General features: G+C 43.8%; 1 protein-coding gene across 38 annotated transcripts in view, besides 2 other annotated features; it reads right to left on the reverse strand.

The window, feature by feature from the left end:
• The window catches only part of SORBS2 (sorbin and SH3 domain containing 2), a 370,850-nt gene that overhangs the window by 141,855 nt on the left and 213,031 nt on the right, over positions 1–15,964 (reverse strand). For 2 of the 38 annotated variants that reach the window (NM_001394261.1, NM_001394253.1), the window contains exon 1: positions 12,624–12,840. The exons of 35 other annotated variants lie outside the window; for them this stretch is intronic. The gene's annotated coding sequence lies outside the window, so the exon portion shown is untranslated. Of the gene's footprint in view, positions 1–6,721; positions 6,778–12,623; positions 12,841–15,964 lie in introns of those variants that run through there. One more of the 38 variants, NM_001395207.1, reaches the window with a different exon arrangement.
• Positions 2,004–2,201: a silencer, noted in NCBI's record as "fragment chr4:186650535-186650732 (GRCh37/hg19 assembly coordinates)". NCBI's record gives its function as "represses an EF-1alpha promoter that drives an FKBP-Casp9 reporter gene in an ReSE screen in HepG2 liver carcinoma cells {active_cell/tissue: HepG2}" and the evidence as "EXISTENCE:reporter gene assay evidence [ECO:0000049][PMID:32094911]".
• Positions 9,722–10,291: an enhancer, noted in NCBI's record as "H3K27ac-H3K4me1 hESC enhancer chr4:186658253-186658822 (GRCh37/hg19 assembly coordinates)". NCBI's record gives its function as "activates a minimal SCP1, AML or CMV promoter by ChIP-STARR-seq in primed H9 embryonic stem cells {active_cell/tissue: H9 hESC(primed)}" and the evidence as "EXISTENCE:reporter gene assay evidence [ECO:0000049][PMID:30033119]".

Here is a 15,964-nt window from a genome sequence, read left to right on the forward strand (position 1 = left end):
ACAAGTAGAAGTTAAAAGGATTTCAATAAATTTGGTAATTGACTTTTTAACTATACGTTTGTGTCAGGCATTTATACTTAGCAAATCTTATTTATTTCAATGTATTTGATTGTTCTGAAATCAGTGACAGGTTAATAACTTTGTTATCAGATTACTAAATTAAGCTTTTATCAGATCATGTTTACATTAAAAAAGAAAAGCCTGAAGACATTATTAACTTCATTTCAACAAGCTTCTGTAAATAAATAGGCTTTCATTAGGAAACCAGCCCTATTTATCAAGGTTATTAAACCATTTTGTAACAAAAAGCATGATTTACAAAAATGTCCCATGATTAGGCTTATTTTATTTTGATACGACCAGGTTTGCTACACATTTTAACATAAATCAAGATAAACAGCTTGTTCAGAAAAAATAAAGCTTCAGAAAAATGCACCTTAATCACTGTTTTGAGTTACTGATTAATGTTTGTCCCTGAATCTGCTCCAGACAGATTTTATGTTTTCTTTGATGACTTTCACTGGAATATGGTTGGCTTTTATGATTAAACCCATCCTTATGGTATAATCCTTGACTAGGAGTTAGACATTGAAAAACACTTAAAACTATACATGGTCAATTTCTTATAATTGATTTTTTTCAGTAAACTCATGGAGAATAACTTTTGTGGTGATTATTAGAATGTTCAAAAACATATTTCTATTGTGAAAACCCAGTGCTTGCTTTCTGAGTCTGCGGGTCTATCCAGCCTGCCCAAGAACTCGATTCAGCTAAGGTTCTCCCTTCCATTATGGAGCCTGGAAGGTTTTATGCAAAACCAGTGACTGTGCTCCCCGAGAAAGTCCACTGAGTAGCGTGCTGGACAGAACCTGACCAGGACTCCATGCTTTCAAGCTCTGGTTCTACCGTCTGTTACTTAGGCAAATGTTTTCACCTGACTGTAGGGTTGATTAAGGCTTTTGGCTTGCCCCAAAAACCCCTGTATTTCTGGATGGGAATCAGTTGGAAGTATTTTGCTAGGGTCCTGTCTTTGCCATTCCATCTAGCTCTAGTAATCTTGATGGCTCTTATCTCTTATGCTCTGGATGAAAACTGGTAATACTTCTTTCTCCATTTGTTTTGTGTAAGCATGGTGGTCGGTAAGATGATTTCTGGTGAAGCAGCAAAACCACAGGCTCTTGTTTCTAAATCTGGTTAACTGAATGCCTTCTGTGTTCACCTGTCATCACAAAAGGATGCGCAGGAGCACTCATTATTTTAATCGGAGTCGTTCCTAATTCTAAAGTTAATCATGGCGATTCTCAGATCAGGGAGAAAATTAATTAAGATGCAATGCTATTTTCTTCTCTCCCAGGGTGACATCTCCCAGGTTTCTCATTAAATCGCCCATTTAGTGTTTGGTTTCAGTGCTTTGGAGCCAGGCAGACCAGATGCAAACCCCAGCTGCATGTGCCATTTGCTCCCTGAGGGGCAGAGATGATGGCCTTGCTGCCAGTGGCATCTCCAGCCCTGGAACTGTGCTGGGTGCACACGAGGAGCCAAATGCATGTTTTCTGAGGGGAGTAAGTGGAAGAATGAATGAAGTCAGCCCTTCCATCTCTTCTTCCTTAGCTGTCAAATAGGATGACAAAATACCTATTTGCCAGTGGTTGTTGTGAGGATTAAATCATAGATGTAATGCATTTAGCACAGTGAATGGGCACATGAGAAGAATTCTATAAATGGCGGTTGTTCATCTTCCTACAGGAAGGGCAGATCTCTGAGTCATAGAAATTGCTTCTTATTTCCCACTTTCCTTTATTTCCTTATGTGGTGAAGTATAAGTTCCACTGGTATTCAACAAGTAAAACTCTTGTTCAGGGTAATGTGCTACTAACTTTTAAGTCTGCATATTTTAAAATGAGAGAAAATCTAGTTTTTTCATTAACTTTCTACTCATCTCTTTCTGGGCCCGCTCAGCAAATCCCCGGTTTCAGAGGACTGCCCTGTAAGGAACTATAGACAGGGTTTCCATCCGTATTTCCATTTTCTGAATAAGTAACAAGGGGAACTAGACTCTCAGGGCCTCCTCTGCCTGCTTCGTCCTTATGGAGCTGATGTGGGGAGAACACTCCTCACTGTCCAGTCTAGTGATGACCACAGTTCTGTAGCCACGTGGATCTGTGTACTCGAGGTCAGTTAGTTCCAGAAAATCATCCAGTCTAACATTTGCTCAGATTCCCTAATTTCTACTCTGTGAAAGACAAGGAATAGTACAGCTCTTCAGTTTCCTGGGGGAGTGCTTCATTACTTTTCCTCTTTTTCTTTCTACTTAGTCTAATGACTCAGATTCCAGATGGTTCTGCCTAAGTTTAGAATTATCATGATCTACTTTGTAGAGAGAAAAGAAAACATTTCTTGTACAGTACAACTTATGTAATTTTTTTTCAGGGAAGTGAGAAAAATATAACACGCAGTGTAGAAGAACTTTTGGCTCTAACATTAGATATCAATGTTTCGTATTCTGTCATTGGGGTGTATTGTAATTTACTTATTTACTGTCTAATTCCTTCTGTAGCTAGTGAAGTTTACATTTTCTTTTTTCTTTTTTTTTGAGATGGAGTCTTGCTCTATCGCCCAGACTGGAGTGCAGTAGAGCCATCTCGGCTCACTGCAAGCTCCGCCTCCCGGGTTCACGCCATTCTCCTGCCTCAGCCTCCCGAGTAGCTGGGACTACAGGTGCCTGCCACGGCACCTGGCTAATTTTTTGTATTTTTAGTAGAGACGGGGTTTCACTGTGTTAGCCAGGATGGTCTCGATCTGTGAAGTTTACATTTTCAAAGAATGTTTTAATGATATGGAAAAATATTCTCCAAACAATGATGTGCAAGTACAAGGTACAAACCAGGAAAGTGTAATTCTAATTTTTTTTTTTTAAAGGTCAATATACTTTCTTTTTTTTTTTTTTTTTTGGAAAAGAAATATTCCTAATAATTCATTTAATCATCTGGAGAGTGGGTTGAAGTTTTGTAAAATTTAATTTCTTCATTATAGACTGTATTATTTTAATAAAAGCTTTTCTTTGGTGTCACCCATTGTGTGCAGCACTGAGCTGGGGCCCTGGAGCTCTCACTATTGTCCATCTGGCCGCACCACTGTCAGCACTGCTTTCAATGAACTGTAACAGAATACTGATGACTCAGCATTTCTGCTGCTGACAGGAAGTCCTTGAGCGAGTCTCTTTGTAGTTCCTCCAAGAAAGGATGCTCAGGCACTCCTTGGGTGAACAGCTGCAGGCCATGGAGAGGACAACCGGGTTGCAGTAGTAAGTTTGCACTGGGCTATCCCAGAGCTAGAACAAGGGAACAGGTCAGCCCCTAGAGTCCCAGAGGTCACAGACTTGGGCAGGTCCAGGCGTTAAATGCAGCTGTGCCTTTGGAGCTGGACATCCAGGTACCTGGCTGCCTGCTGGGAACAGGTGAGTATGTATCAGCCATTGTGAAGCCTCAAAAGGCTGCAGCCTGACGTAGCTGCAGATCAGGCTGTACCCAAATTGCATTGTTACTGATGAAATAATTTTTTAAAAAACCAATGGTATCTATTTGAGCATTTTCCTCATGGACACCATTCAACAGAATGCTGTTCTCGGGGAACAAATGACTCATGCAAATGACTATTTTCTAGGTTTTTCTCATGGTCAAGCAGCCATGATCTTTTTATAGCTTTATTTTATTTTAACTCAGTCCCAATGGTTAATTTAAATCCTTTCTTTCTTTCATCAATGATACAAAGAGCTCACTTTACTACAGTCTCATCTTGACAGAGTCAAATGCAGAGGCTGTAAGGCTGCCCACCTGAGGAGGAGGAACTGGAACTTAGGAAAACAGCTCAGATGCTTCATGCAAATGAGGAAGCTCAATTGGCTTCTATTGAAAATACCTCACGCATCATTTTCTCTTGTCTCTACTTGCCAAAATATTTATAAAATATCTTTGCCCTGCCATACCTAACTAAGCCTCTTGGAATTTATTTTTTCAGTGAGATTCTCTGATGCAATAACCAAGCACTGGCTTTTAGAAAGTGTTCTCTCCCCCTCCCTCCCTCCCTGCCTGTCTCTCTCCCTCCCTCCCTGCCTGTCTCTCTCCCTCCCTCCCTGCCTATCTCTCTCCCCCTCCCTCTCTCCCTGCCTCTCTCCCTCCCTCCCTGCCTATCTCTCTCCTTCCCTCTCTCCCTCCCTCCCTGCCTATCTCTCTCTCTCCCTCCCTGCCTATCTCTCTCCCTCCCTGCCTATCTCTCTCCCTCCCTATCTCTCTCCCTCCCTCCCTGCCTCTCTCCCTCCCTCCCTGCCTGTCTCTCTCCCTCCCTCCCTGCCTGTCTCTCTCCCTCCCTCCCTATCTCTCTCCCTCCCTCCCCGCCTGTCTCTCTCTCTTCCTCCCTGCCTATCTCTTTCCCTCCCTCCCTGCCTGTCTCTCTCTTTCTCTCTCTCTCTCTCTCTCTCTCTCTCTCTCTCTATATATATATATATATATATATATATATATATATATATATATGTCTGTTTCTCTGTCTCACTCTAGATATACAATCAAATCAGTGTGCAGATGGAGGACAAAGAGTATCACAAAATTATTATTGTAACTTGTGGATAATAAATTTCAAAATCTGATGTCTGTGCTCCAATATCTGACCTCCTTTTTTGCAAAATATGCACATGTGAAACCTGATTTACTACTGAGGAAGTTAACCCTTTCCTTTTGAAAGTAATGCATCAGTAGAAGATGGAAAGTTCAGTGGAGATGGGTGATCTTCTCAATTATGTGCATGAGAATAAGTAAACTCCCAGGCATTCCGTCACTCTCCAAAGTCAGAACAATCAAGAGGACACATCAGGCTTTAGAAAAACTCATTCCCTTGGAAGATAATCTCAATAGCATGTGTGAATAGGAAGAGCATCAAAGTGTGACCGAGAGAGTGTCAGAGAAGAGTCACCTATTACAAGCATGATCATAGTACTTAGGAAAAAGTAAGTTCCAGGCTTATGTGGATATTCATATAGATATTTTCCAGGGTTTTAGAGGTTCATGATTTCTCAGGGAGACCAAAGTGCCTATGTGACTGTGAGGGGTTATTAGTCCTCTGGGTTCTGGCTTTACTCAGAAATAGCCTGGACCACATGGGTCAGTCCTGCCCCACAGACATTAGGCCCCCTCCTGGGGCCCCTGCAGAGTGGGTCAGTTCTGCAGATGTGGGAAGGGATGAGTGTTGGGTTTGGGAACCAAAGGCTGTGTGTTGAGCTTACAGTAGACAATTTGGAGCTGCTTCTTGCTTAGAGATGACCCAATATCCAAAAGTAGCTATTGCGGGCAAGTGGTGTTCCCCAAAAAGGTATGTTGAAGTCCTTCCTCACCCCCAGTACCTGTGAGAGCGATCTTATTTGGAAACAGGATCTTTACAGATGTAATCCAGTTAATTGAGGTCATACTGGAGAAAAGTGAGCCCTAAATCCAATGACTGGTATTCTTACATGGAGAGAGAGATTTGGAGACAGATCCATAGAAAGAACATTGCGAGACAATGCAGGCAGAGATGGGTGATGCTGCCATAAGCCAAGGACTGCCAGCAACCACCAGAAGTGGGAAGAAGTGAGGAAGGATTCGCTGCTGGAGCCTTCACAGGCAACCCGGCCCTGCTGACACCTTGATCTCAGACTTCTACACCCCCACGTAGAGTGTGAGACAATAGATTTCTGTTGTTTCAAGCCACCCAATTGGTTGCACTTTGTTGCAGCGCTCTAGAAACTGATACAGTGGCTCAAACAGAGCCTCTAGGTGTCTCTTCTTTTGCAATCCAAAGACTGCACCAGTGCTACTTGAAGGGGTAAGAGAGCTAAATAAATTTGCTTTTGGGGAGATAGATTTGGGTAAGTTTCTCCATGCTGAGTTAGATGAGTGATATGTGGTGGTGGTAAAATCCAGATAACCCTTGAGTGTGATGATTTCAGAAAGAGAGAGCCAGGAGGCCTGGGAGCCAGCAGGCCAGCGGGGGTCCGCCCACTGGCCCCGAAACAGCGAACAGTGACATTGGAGCAAGGGCCCATCCCGTGCTTCTCTGGAGCCCCACTGGGCAGAGCCAGGTGGAGAAGCAGGAAACTGCACATTGGTGGGCTGGAGGGGCTTGGAGGGGCTGAGACAAGGTGTGTGCTTGGGGATAAGGGCGTTCCTGGTCCCCGGTGAAGCATCAGTGACCAAGAGGCATCCTCTAGAAGAGGTAGACACTACATGGGAAGGGAGAAGCAGCATGAAGGAAGGCGCTTTAGGACAAGGGGATCAGTTACAGTTTCTTCGCCATGTGCCTTAGACCTACAGCTTGCTATTCCACTCTGAAATAAGGCAGAGTGAAGAATTCAAAAACAATCACTCTGGGAGAAAAAAGCGAGTTCTCTTGATATCCTTGCTTTCTCCTGGCCTCATTTCCTCTGATGTTCCCCTGCCCTCTTGCAAATCAATCAGCCTAAATCAAGGGTGTCTGTGCAGGTTCTCAAGACAGACATGCTGCTGGGAGTGGCACGTACGTGAACGTCAAGGAGATGTCAGGGCATGCGCATATTCTTTGGTGCCCACCGTCTTATTTTCTTAACTTACTGGGAAATCTTTTTGTTAGAGTGCACGCATTAAGTTTCTTCCTGGCCTCATCAGCCCCAAACCCAGGCAGTGGCGGGCGGTTTCCCGTGAGGACAGCGTACCTTCTGAAGAAATGCACCCAGATCAGAATGGTATACGAGTCTGTCCTATTCTCGCTCTAGAAAAGAAATGTCACAATAAATAGGTGGGTGGGGTCTGCCCCACACTCCCCAAAACAACCAAAACAGCGGCGAGATCAAACTGAGGACAACGTTATCATCATATATTCTTTTCTTTACACAGTTTGATACCTACCTACTTCTCAGAACAAACACCGCGGAAAGGAAACTGGGTGGATACTTACTGTTTTTAGTTTGTTACATACTACAATTAGTCACCATTAGCTAATTATATAGAAAAGGGGAAATTGGGGCTGTTTTACCCAGAGTTGGTTTTAGGTGGGGGTGAAGCAGGCAGGGTGATATTGGCAGCCTCATGGTTGGTTTTGCTGATTCAGTTCCTCTTTCCTTGCCCCCTATTTCATACAAAATTCCTCTGACAAAGCTTCCTGTGTGGCCACTGGTCAGCATTTTAATAGAATGGAAGGGTGCAGCACAGCAAAGGCCATAGTGTTAATATCCCTCGCATCTGCCGTTCCCACCTCCTCCTTGCTTTTCCAGTCCTTTCCAACTCTGCATAGGATGATGGGGAGAGGAGGGAGCTAGGAAGGGTGAGAGGCAAGCAAAGTCATTTCCAGCATTTTAAAGTCAGCTCTCCCAAAATGCTCTCTCTCTCCATAGCCTTCTCCCTACTGGGGCTTCAAAGCCTTCCCTCTACCTGAAACCACTCAGGGTGCAAGGAAGCCTCTTCAGGTCCCCCTCATCCTTGATCATTACACCAGCTCTTGAGGATCCTTTCTTTCTCTAAATTTGGCAACAATCTTCTGTTGCAGACTCTTTTCACTATTGGAATTCCCTTTCAGGGACTGCTCTCTACAACTTATATGGCTGCAGCAGCAGCTTATCTGACCATTTAAGGCTCTACACTGTGCAGACAGAAAAGGATCACACTCCTCTCTCAGACACATTATAAGAAATTTTATACAAGGCCTGTGCATTTTCAAAACACAGGATTGACCTAATGAGCAGGAATTTGAGACCAGGTAGGAAAAGAGGGTCATGGGATGTGGGGAGCTGCCTGGGGGCTGGTGGGAACTTGCCAGGGGTCCTCATATCCCTTCATGAGACAGTTGCCTAATCAGCCTATTTCAAGGGATGGCCCTGATTTCACGGTGAAAAGCAAGGCATGTTTCTGCAGATACGTCAGTGCTCTAACAGCAACATGTCCTCTGCTAGGAGGACATCCTAGGAGATTCGCTTCCATTGAATCAGAGTAAACTATTTTTTTTTTTTTTTGCTTCTTGGCAGAATATTATTTGCAGATATCTGCAAATTTGGTAGGAAAGCTTTTTTTTCTAAATGGAACTATCCTGAAAACAAAGGGAAAAAAGGGCAAACACACACACACTCACACACACAAACAAACACACACACTCACATGCGAGCCTTCCCCCAAATCCTTCCAAGTCTTCATTCTATTTAAGCTGTTCATAAATAATATCTGATGATAATCTCATTGAAAATGCATCTGTTTTTATGTTAATTTTTGTTAATTTGACATCCCTAGACGATATCATGAAAATATTTACTGTGTGTACGTTTGTGTGTGTGTATGTGTGTGTGTGGGTGCAATTTTGTCCCCTTAGTCCATGATGAATTAAAATAAGTAGTTTACCTATAGATAACTAAAATTCTATACATGTCTTCATGAAGTTTACCTTATTTAACCGTTGCAATTAACACATATCCCAGAAAAATCTTTAAATTTTATTTTTAATATTATCCTAATGTTGCTGAGTTCCCAGCAACACAATTATTTATTGCAGCCAACATCTACCATGCTTACTATTACAGCAAGCTCTTTTCCAAGTTCTTATATCAATAACACACAAGGCAGGGCCTGTGATATTTCCCATTTGTGGATGGAGAAGCAGAGCCGTGGACAGGTGCCAAGTCACCCAGGTCTCAGGGGTGGGGTGGGGTCTCCCCACAGACAGCCTGGCTCAGACACACTCTCCACTGCCGCAGCGCGAGGGACCCTTGTCATCATCCCACAGAGTTTGCCTTGTCATTGCTTCTGAAGTGCTTAGAGACTGTCAATGAAGGAGCAATCTCAATAAACTTTGTGGTTTTGTCATCCTCAGAAATGACCAATCTTCATGAAGGTGGTGTTGTGCAAGCCTGGGCTTCTATTAAAATAAAAAAGTGTGCTTTGCACCTAAGGCAATGGTGGGATTAAAGCAAGTAGCAAATTGATGTTCTCATTTAAAAGTCTTGCCTGGTCTGTGAGTGCCCTGGGCCTGCAAAGGTAAAAGAAGCCTGACCACAAAGCAACTGGGCATTCTGGAGGTTACTGGGCAGACCTGAGACTCCAGAGAAAGTAGGAAGAGAAGGCAGATTGTCAGTTAATGATGGCGGTGTTCGTTTCTGTTTGTATACTTTTAACAGTCTAAAAATGGGGCTTCGGACACAATACCTTTCCTAAATGAAACCAGTGCCTGCTTCGTTACAGGCACAAGGTATGTACTGTGGGTGACATCCAGCCCCCTTCAGTTTTCCAGAGTCTTTCCTGGGGTCTTGCTTGGCTCAGGGCCACTGGAACACAACCCACCCGATGACACCAGGGTGTGTCGAGCCTGTGGTCAAGGTTCACACGTCTGTGTGTGCCACAACCACTGCAGAGGGGAAAGACATCATCCACACAACATCCCACCCTCAGCAGGGACTTGGAAAATCAGGAACCCGATAGTCCATAGTTGGGGAGACTGAAAGGTTCCCCAAACAAGCAAGGCTGCTCCATTTTACCTAACAATACCATACCTACTGGCACGGTTTCTCCCTGTGCCCCATTGCTAACATTTCTCCTTCGAGTTGGCATGCCAAGGAAAGCACAGTGAAAAATGTCTGAGTTCCGGGTTGCTCTTAGCAACATCCATGAATCTGAGTTTCTAACCTCCTTCCCTATAGAACAGTGCCTGAAGGAAGAACTGGCAATGCTCACTGGTGTCAGAATTGCCCACGATTTTTCCCTTTTCAGCAATTATTTAAGTGCTCCAAAAGCATTGCTTCCTTACTGTTTTCAAGGCAAGATAGAAGGAGAGGTTAATCTTGCTTAGAATTTCCTCTGCTTTCAAGTTCCAGGTTGGGGGTATAAAGAGGTTTGATAGAAAAGAACCGCAGCAGCCCAGGCCTGGCTGCAGGAGAAAGCAAAGTGGCTGGGGACAGGGGGTGTGGAGAGCAGGTGGTCTCCCGTCTCCTCCATCAGGGTCAGGAATGTGTCTGCTCCTTTACTGGAACCATCGCCCTCCCTGGATGGCTGTACCGTTTAGGGAGGCCTGTGCTGACAATACAGGTGCAATTCAAAAGAAATTCCATTAAAATAAAGTGGGCAGTGGGGAGAAACGGGGAATTCTGTCATGAAACATAAAACCTAAAATACTGTCTGGTCAAAACCTAGACAGCCTGTGAGACCCATGAGAGCTCGGAGACCCTGCTTTCGGAGCATAGGTGGGGACCCGAGGGGTGGGGCCGTGAGCAGGGTCTCAGGCCAGCCGTGGAGAAGGCGGCTGCCTCTGCGGGGATGGGCACCGCAGCGTGGTGGGCAGATATGAGGAAGGCAAGGACTTTCCCATTGACCATGCAAAACCTTCACGAAGTCAGGGTCTGTCCACCGTCTAAAGATCGAGACCTCATGTTGAGTTCTGAGGTAAAATGGGAAAACAGTTTTAACAGTGCAGTGAAGCTTCCTGCCAATAAGCAAACCTTTCCACCCTCCGCTCAGCTACAGAAACACATTTGGGAGCTCCAGGGAGGAGGCGGAGGGGCACAGGCGCTCCCCAGTGTGGGCCACGCTCAGGTGTCCCTTCACAATGGCAGCCACACTGCTTCGTGAAACGGACACACTACGGGATGGAAAACAGTGAGAGGGAAGCCACGGCATCAAGAAGCAATAATCACAGAATGTTTTTGTGCTGTCCACGCCTTCCTCAACATCTGCCTCCACTTCCAAGTCAATCGAGACAGCCTGTTTATGTGGAGCTTTGAGATGACACATACACTTTACTGACCCTAGAACAATACCCTTTCCACATCTAAAGCAATTTTCGTGTAAATGACTGTGCCATTAACCTTCCAGGGTCATTCAAATATTTTCTGAGAAATTGGCTGCTTTCGGGATTTTCTTAGAATGCCATGTGTTTCATTTTTGTGCAGAACAGATGACAGGCGAGGCATTCCAACAGGACTTCAGTTGATTTAACTAATTCCTGTCAGGGGAAGTGAAGTGTTGGGATTCATAAAGCCGATCCCAGCCCGGAGATTTTCCTTTTCCCAAAACAGAAAAAACAAGACATGCTGTGTGGTTTTGCAACCGGGCAAGTTTCGAAATATTTTTAAGCTTTCTACTTTGCCAAGTATTTCATAAAAAAACTATTTTCTTTTTGTTTCGTGCCAAAAAATGTCACCCCTAAATATTTTTTCCCATATCTGGTCACATGTCCAGGATTTTTTCTTTTCTAAGAATAAATAATTTTTCTGGGTTATAAAAATTCCACTTGCTCTATCAGATTAAACATATCTTTATATAGAAAAAGCATCCGAAACATTCCCCAAGTGGGTCTAAGGGAGGAGTCTTAATACAATTTTGTTAAATTAATTTTGATTAAATATTAGGCCTTGAATTCTTTTTGTGACTCTCACAAAGTTCAGGCTTATTTTGTTACACTTTCAAGTCTCCCTTTTTTTCACTCTCCACATACTGTTTCCTTTTATTAGAAAGCATTCAAGAAGAATTGATTGGTGTGTTTGACCAAAATAATATGTTGGAAGTGATACCAGTGCAAGGGGACCCTCTGGGTTCCATTCTCTATTTGCATAGTTAGCTGGAGTTAGAAGGTTCAGCTGTCAGGGATTCAAGAACTCTAGCATCAAAAAAGTGTGAACTTGCAAATGAGCTGTCAAGGTTCATAGCAAGTGAATAATGCAGCTGAGAGCTGACTTGTCTCCACCCTGGTGTTCTATTGATCTTGCTGCTGGATAAAGCATAGGCACATAGGAACACTGAAAAATAGCAATTTGTATGGGTTGGACTGGTATTTTCTTTTTTACCAGTTAAAATGTTAATTACATTCACAAAGTCAAAAAGCTGAATAAATAGTCTTACAGTTGGAAATATAGGGCAAAACAAAACACAGGCTTGAAAAAGCAATAATAGCTATACACCTAAAATGTGAAAAATATTCATAGAGAAATGAATTGTAGGGCATTAACTCTTGCAAAACCACCAAAGGCCTGGTGGAATTAATATGCTACAGATTTGAAACTTAACATTGGGCAACTTAAAATGCATGTATTTGTTATTGATATTTAACTAATCCTTGTAAGTAAATCTACTATAAGCGAAAAGCATTCTAAATTGATGTTATTGCTAGTTTGCAGGGAAATTCTGAAAGTCTATGTGTTTGTTGGTGCATGAGGGGATGTGCGTATTGAGGTGTGTGTTCAGGATGAGGGCTTCTGGTCCTTTAGAAATGGTTCCCTCTAAGCTTCTTGGTTTCCAAATCTTCATCACTCTTTTTAAAATCTAAAAATGCAGGTTTACTTTATATGGAGAGCACATTGCTATGAGGAGATGTGACATTTCAGAAAGAGCACATGGCACTGATTCTGAAATGCTACCAAGTTGCTTCAGAATATACCCAAATTCTCTCAAAGATTAATGATACACTAAGAAACTGAAGGACACAGCAAATTATTTTGCTTGTCTTCAACCCACTGTCACCCTGCCACAAATTGAACCTAATAAAATTTCCATCCCTCTCCCATCTTATGATATGACCCTTCCCCCTCATGCATGGGGAAATTGTTATTTACATTGTGAAAATATCAAGCATCTCCAAACACTTACGTTTTGTGGAGCCGGGTCTCCCATGGTAAAATGAGAGCCCAACACGGTGAGTTTGCTTCCTAGGAATGGCAAATCAGCATCGCGATGCCCTCAAACCAGAAATAATACCCTTCATTTGCTGCAACTGGTTGAGTATCAGTGCTATAAAAAATAGATGATGGAAAACCGGAGCCCTTGACAGAAATACAAGTCTGCTGTGTGTGGCTTGTGCAGGAATGGAGCAGAGAGAAGCGGTGGTCTTGTCTACACATCATACTTGGGCTTCGCCCATGCTGACAAGTGGAAGCACATGCACAGTGGACACACGCTGTCAGGACATTCATCCCTGCTGGCACGTAAACGGCAGGGAGCTAAACTGCTAGAATTCAAGTGGCACAGAAACTTGAGCCTATGGAATATCACTGTGGAGTGGGCAGGCCAAGTTCTTTACAGTGCTCTTTGCTTTTGCAAAGAGGTAATTTCCAACTCAAGAATGCTCTGTGGCTTTGGCGTCAAGAAAGCTGAAAGTCAGTGAAATAGAGCCTTGAAGGTCATCCAATCTGCGCTGCAGCAGGAAGTGAATTTTGGGAGCCCCAAATGCAAAATAGGCAGCTCAGCCCAACATTAACTCAGCCCAACACTAACTCAGCCCAACATTAACTCAGCCCAATATTAACTCAGCCCAACACTAACTCAGCCCAACACTAACTCAGCCCAACATTAACTCAGCCCAACATTAACTCAGCCCAACACTAACTCAGCCCAGCACCAGCTCAGCCCAACGCTAACTCAGCCCAGCACCAACTCAGCCCAGCACCAACTCAGCCCAGCACTAACTCAACCCAGCACTAACTCAGCCCAGCACCAACTCAGATCAGCACCAACTCGAACCAGCACTAACTCGGACCAGCACTAACTCGGACCAGCACTAACTCAAACCAGCACCAACTCAAACCAGCACAAACTCAGCCCAGCACCAACTCAGATCAGCACGAACTCAAACCAGCACTAACTCGGACCAGCACCAACTCAAACCAGCACCAACTCAAACCAGCACCAACTCAGCCTAGCATGCACTGATTCTCTGGCATAGACTCAGACTCCAAAAATATGTCGAGAAAGTCTAACCAAAATTTGCAAAATTAGGACCTGTGGTCAGTACCTTGACTAAATATGACTCTGTCTATGAACACAAGTAGGCATAATGTAACATAAGACAGTAAAGAGGGGCATCGTTAGAAACCTTTAGCATTATGTCAGAAAGGGCAAGAGGACTCAAGTAGAAGAAAGGCAGAGAGAATAACAGAGGGACATGCATGAAAAGTACTTTTTTCTTCTTCAGTCCTGCAATTGCATTAGGAACAGAGGTCAGGCCCAAGAGCTGCCCTCTCCTCACTTTTCTTTCTTTCTTTTCTTTTTTTTTTGTTTTTTTTTTTTTTTTTGAGGGGGAGTCTCGCTCTGTCGCCCAGGCTGAAGTGCAGTGGCATGATCTCGGCTCACTGCAACCTCCACCTCCCAGGTTCAAGAGATTCTCCTGCCTCAGTCACCGGAGCTAATTTTTGTATTTTTAGTACAGATGGAGTTTCACCATGTTGACCAGGCTGGTCTCAAACTCTTGACCTCAAATGCCCGCCTTGGCCTCCCAAAGTGCTGGGATTACAGGCGTGAGCCACCGCACCCGGCCTGTCCTCACTTTTTATCACATACTCCTGCTCTTGTGGCCCTGCTTGAACACAGCAACAGGGTCTACATAAAATAAATTAAAATACATTTAAAAAAAAATTACCTGCTTTACTTCTGGTCCATAGCATTGGACATACCCAGCCAGAAATCATACACTGGGCTGGTTTTTGGGAGCCAACTCAAATGCTTGTCCTTTGAGGTAAGTATTAGGGTGCTCGTGGCCTCCCGCCCCACGGGTCCTTCACTCACTGACCCTGACCTGTGCTCACTTTGTCTCACCACCTACATTTCCCAACAGTTCATGTTTGATACAGCTGCTGGTCCTGCCAAGGCTGGAGGCCCTCCCCATCCGCTGATTTGCCTTTCTCTGAAATCGGCATCTTGGCTCCTCTGCATTATTTCTGATTGGACTTGTCTCTCTGGCTTGTTTTCTCTGCTAATTCTGATGAAGACGATAATCTCTAGCTCTCAGGGGCCAGCCCTGGCTACACAGTTTGGGGGTAGTGTTCAAACAACCCTTGAGAATCTTATTTTTCAAGGCTGTTGGCTGGCACTTTAGGGCTAAAGCAAGTGGTGAATTAAAACACAAAACAAAACAAAGCAAAAACCACAGGCCTAAATAAACATATGCACCCAGGAGCATGACTGTGCAGACAGACTGCCTGGCTTTGAATCTCATTGCCACCATTGATTGGCCACTTAACCTTGCATATCACAAGATGGGAATAATAAGGCACCTGCTTCATAGATTGTTCTTTTAGTCTTCTATCCGTTTGTTCATTCCTTCAGTAAATATCCATCGAGCACCTACTACTGCCCAGACATACGGATCCAGAAATGTCCAGCACAGATTAAGAGGCCACAGCCTCGTGGATTTTCCATTCCAGGGCATTTTTCTTCAAGGATCCAATAAGATATCCCCCTAAACTATACATCATAGAGCCTTTGACACAGTAAACACTCACATGCCATTAGCTGTTATCACGGTAACAATAAAAATAAACTTTTAGCAAAGGTTTTAACTAAATGAGGTGAGAATCATAAATAAAGATATATTTGCTATAGTGAAAAGGAGAGAAAATGTAGGAAAGTCAGGCAAGAGGAATATTTGCCAAAATCATTCATGAATCTGACACATTAGATTCTGGGCGTGTCCTAAGCCTTGACCTGTGCTACTTGATGTGGGATTTGCACACCTGGGACACACGAGCTTCTGAAGTTCAGACTGTCTGCACTCTATCTGACACACTCCACAGCTGCACAACTTGCAGCATGAGTCAGCACCATCCTAACCTCTAAAGAGCCCCGCGGGCACAGCGAATGCACCTCCCAGCCCTTTGGACGTGGTGGCGACCAGCTGGTTTCCTGGAGAGGCATCTCCTTTACACCCATCTGTGAAAGAAATCTAGATCTAAGCCTTAGATCTCAAGGTTAGAAAGGGGGTAAGGTTGAGGTTCCGGAGTGCTACTCTATTAGACACATTGTCCTTTTTAAATTATATTTTTACAATAATTTCCATTTATTATTTTTTCGTGGCATCCTAGTGAGGCAGGCTAGTTTGACAACATGCTGCTTAGGGGAAATTTGCTGTTAATAAGTCTTTTGAGCTCACTAAATTTTGGTGCAGCATGAAAACCCAGACTGTTTTCAACTCTCTCTCTGGCATACCCGCTTGATTC

The sequence above is a fragment of the Homo sapiens genome, chromosome 4 (assembly GCF_000001405.40).
Source record: "Homo sapiens chromosome 4, GRCh38.p14 Primary Assembly".
Taxonomy (NCBI): Eukaryota; Metazoa; Chordata; class Mammalia; order Primates; family Hominidae; genus Homo; species Homo sapiens.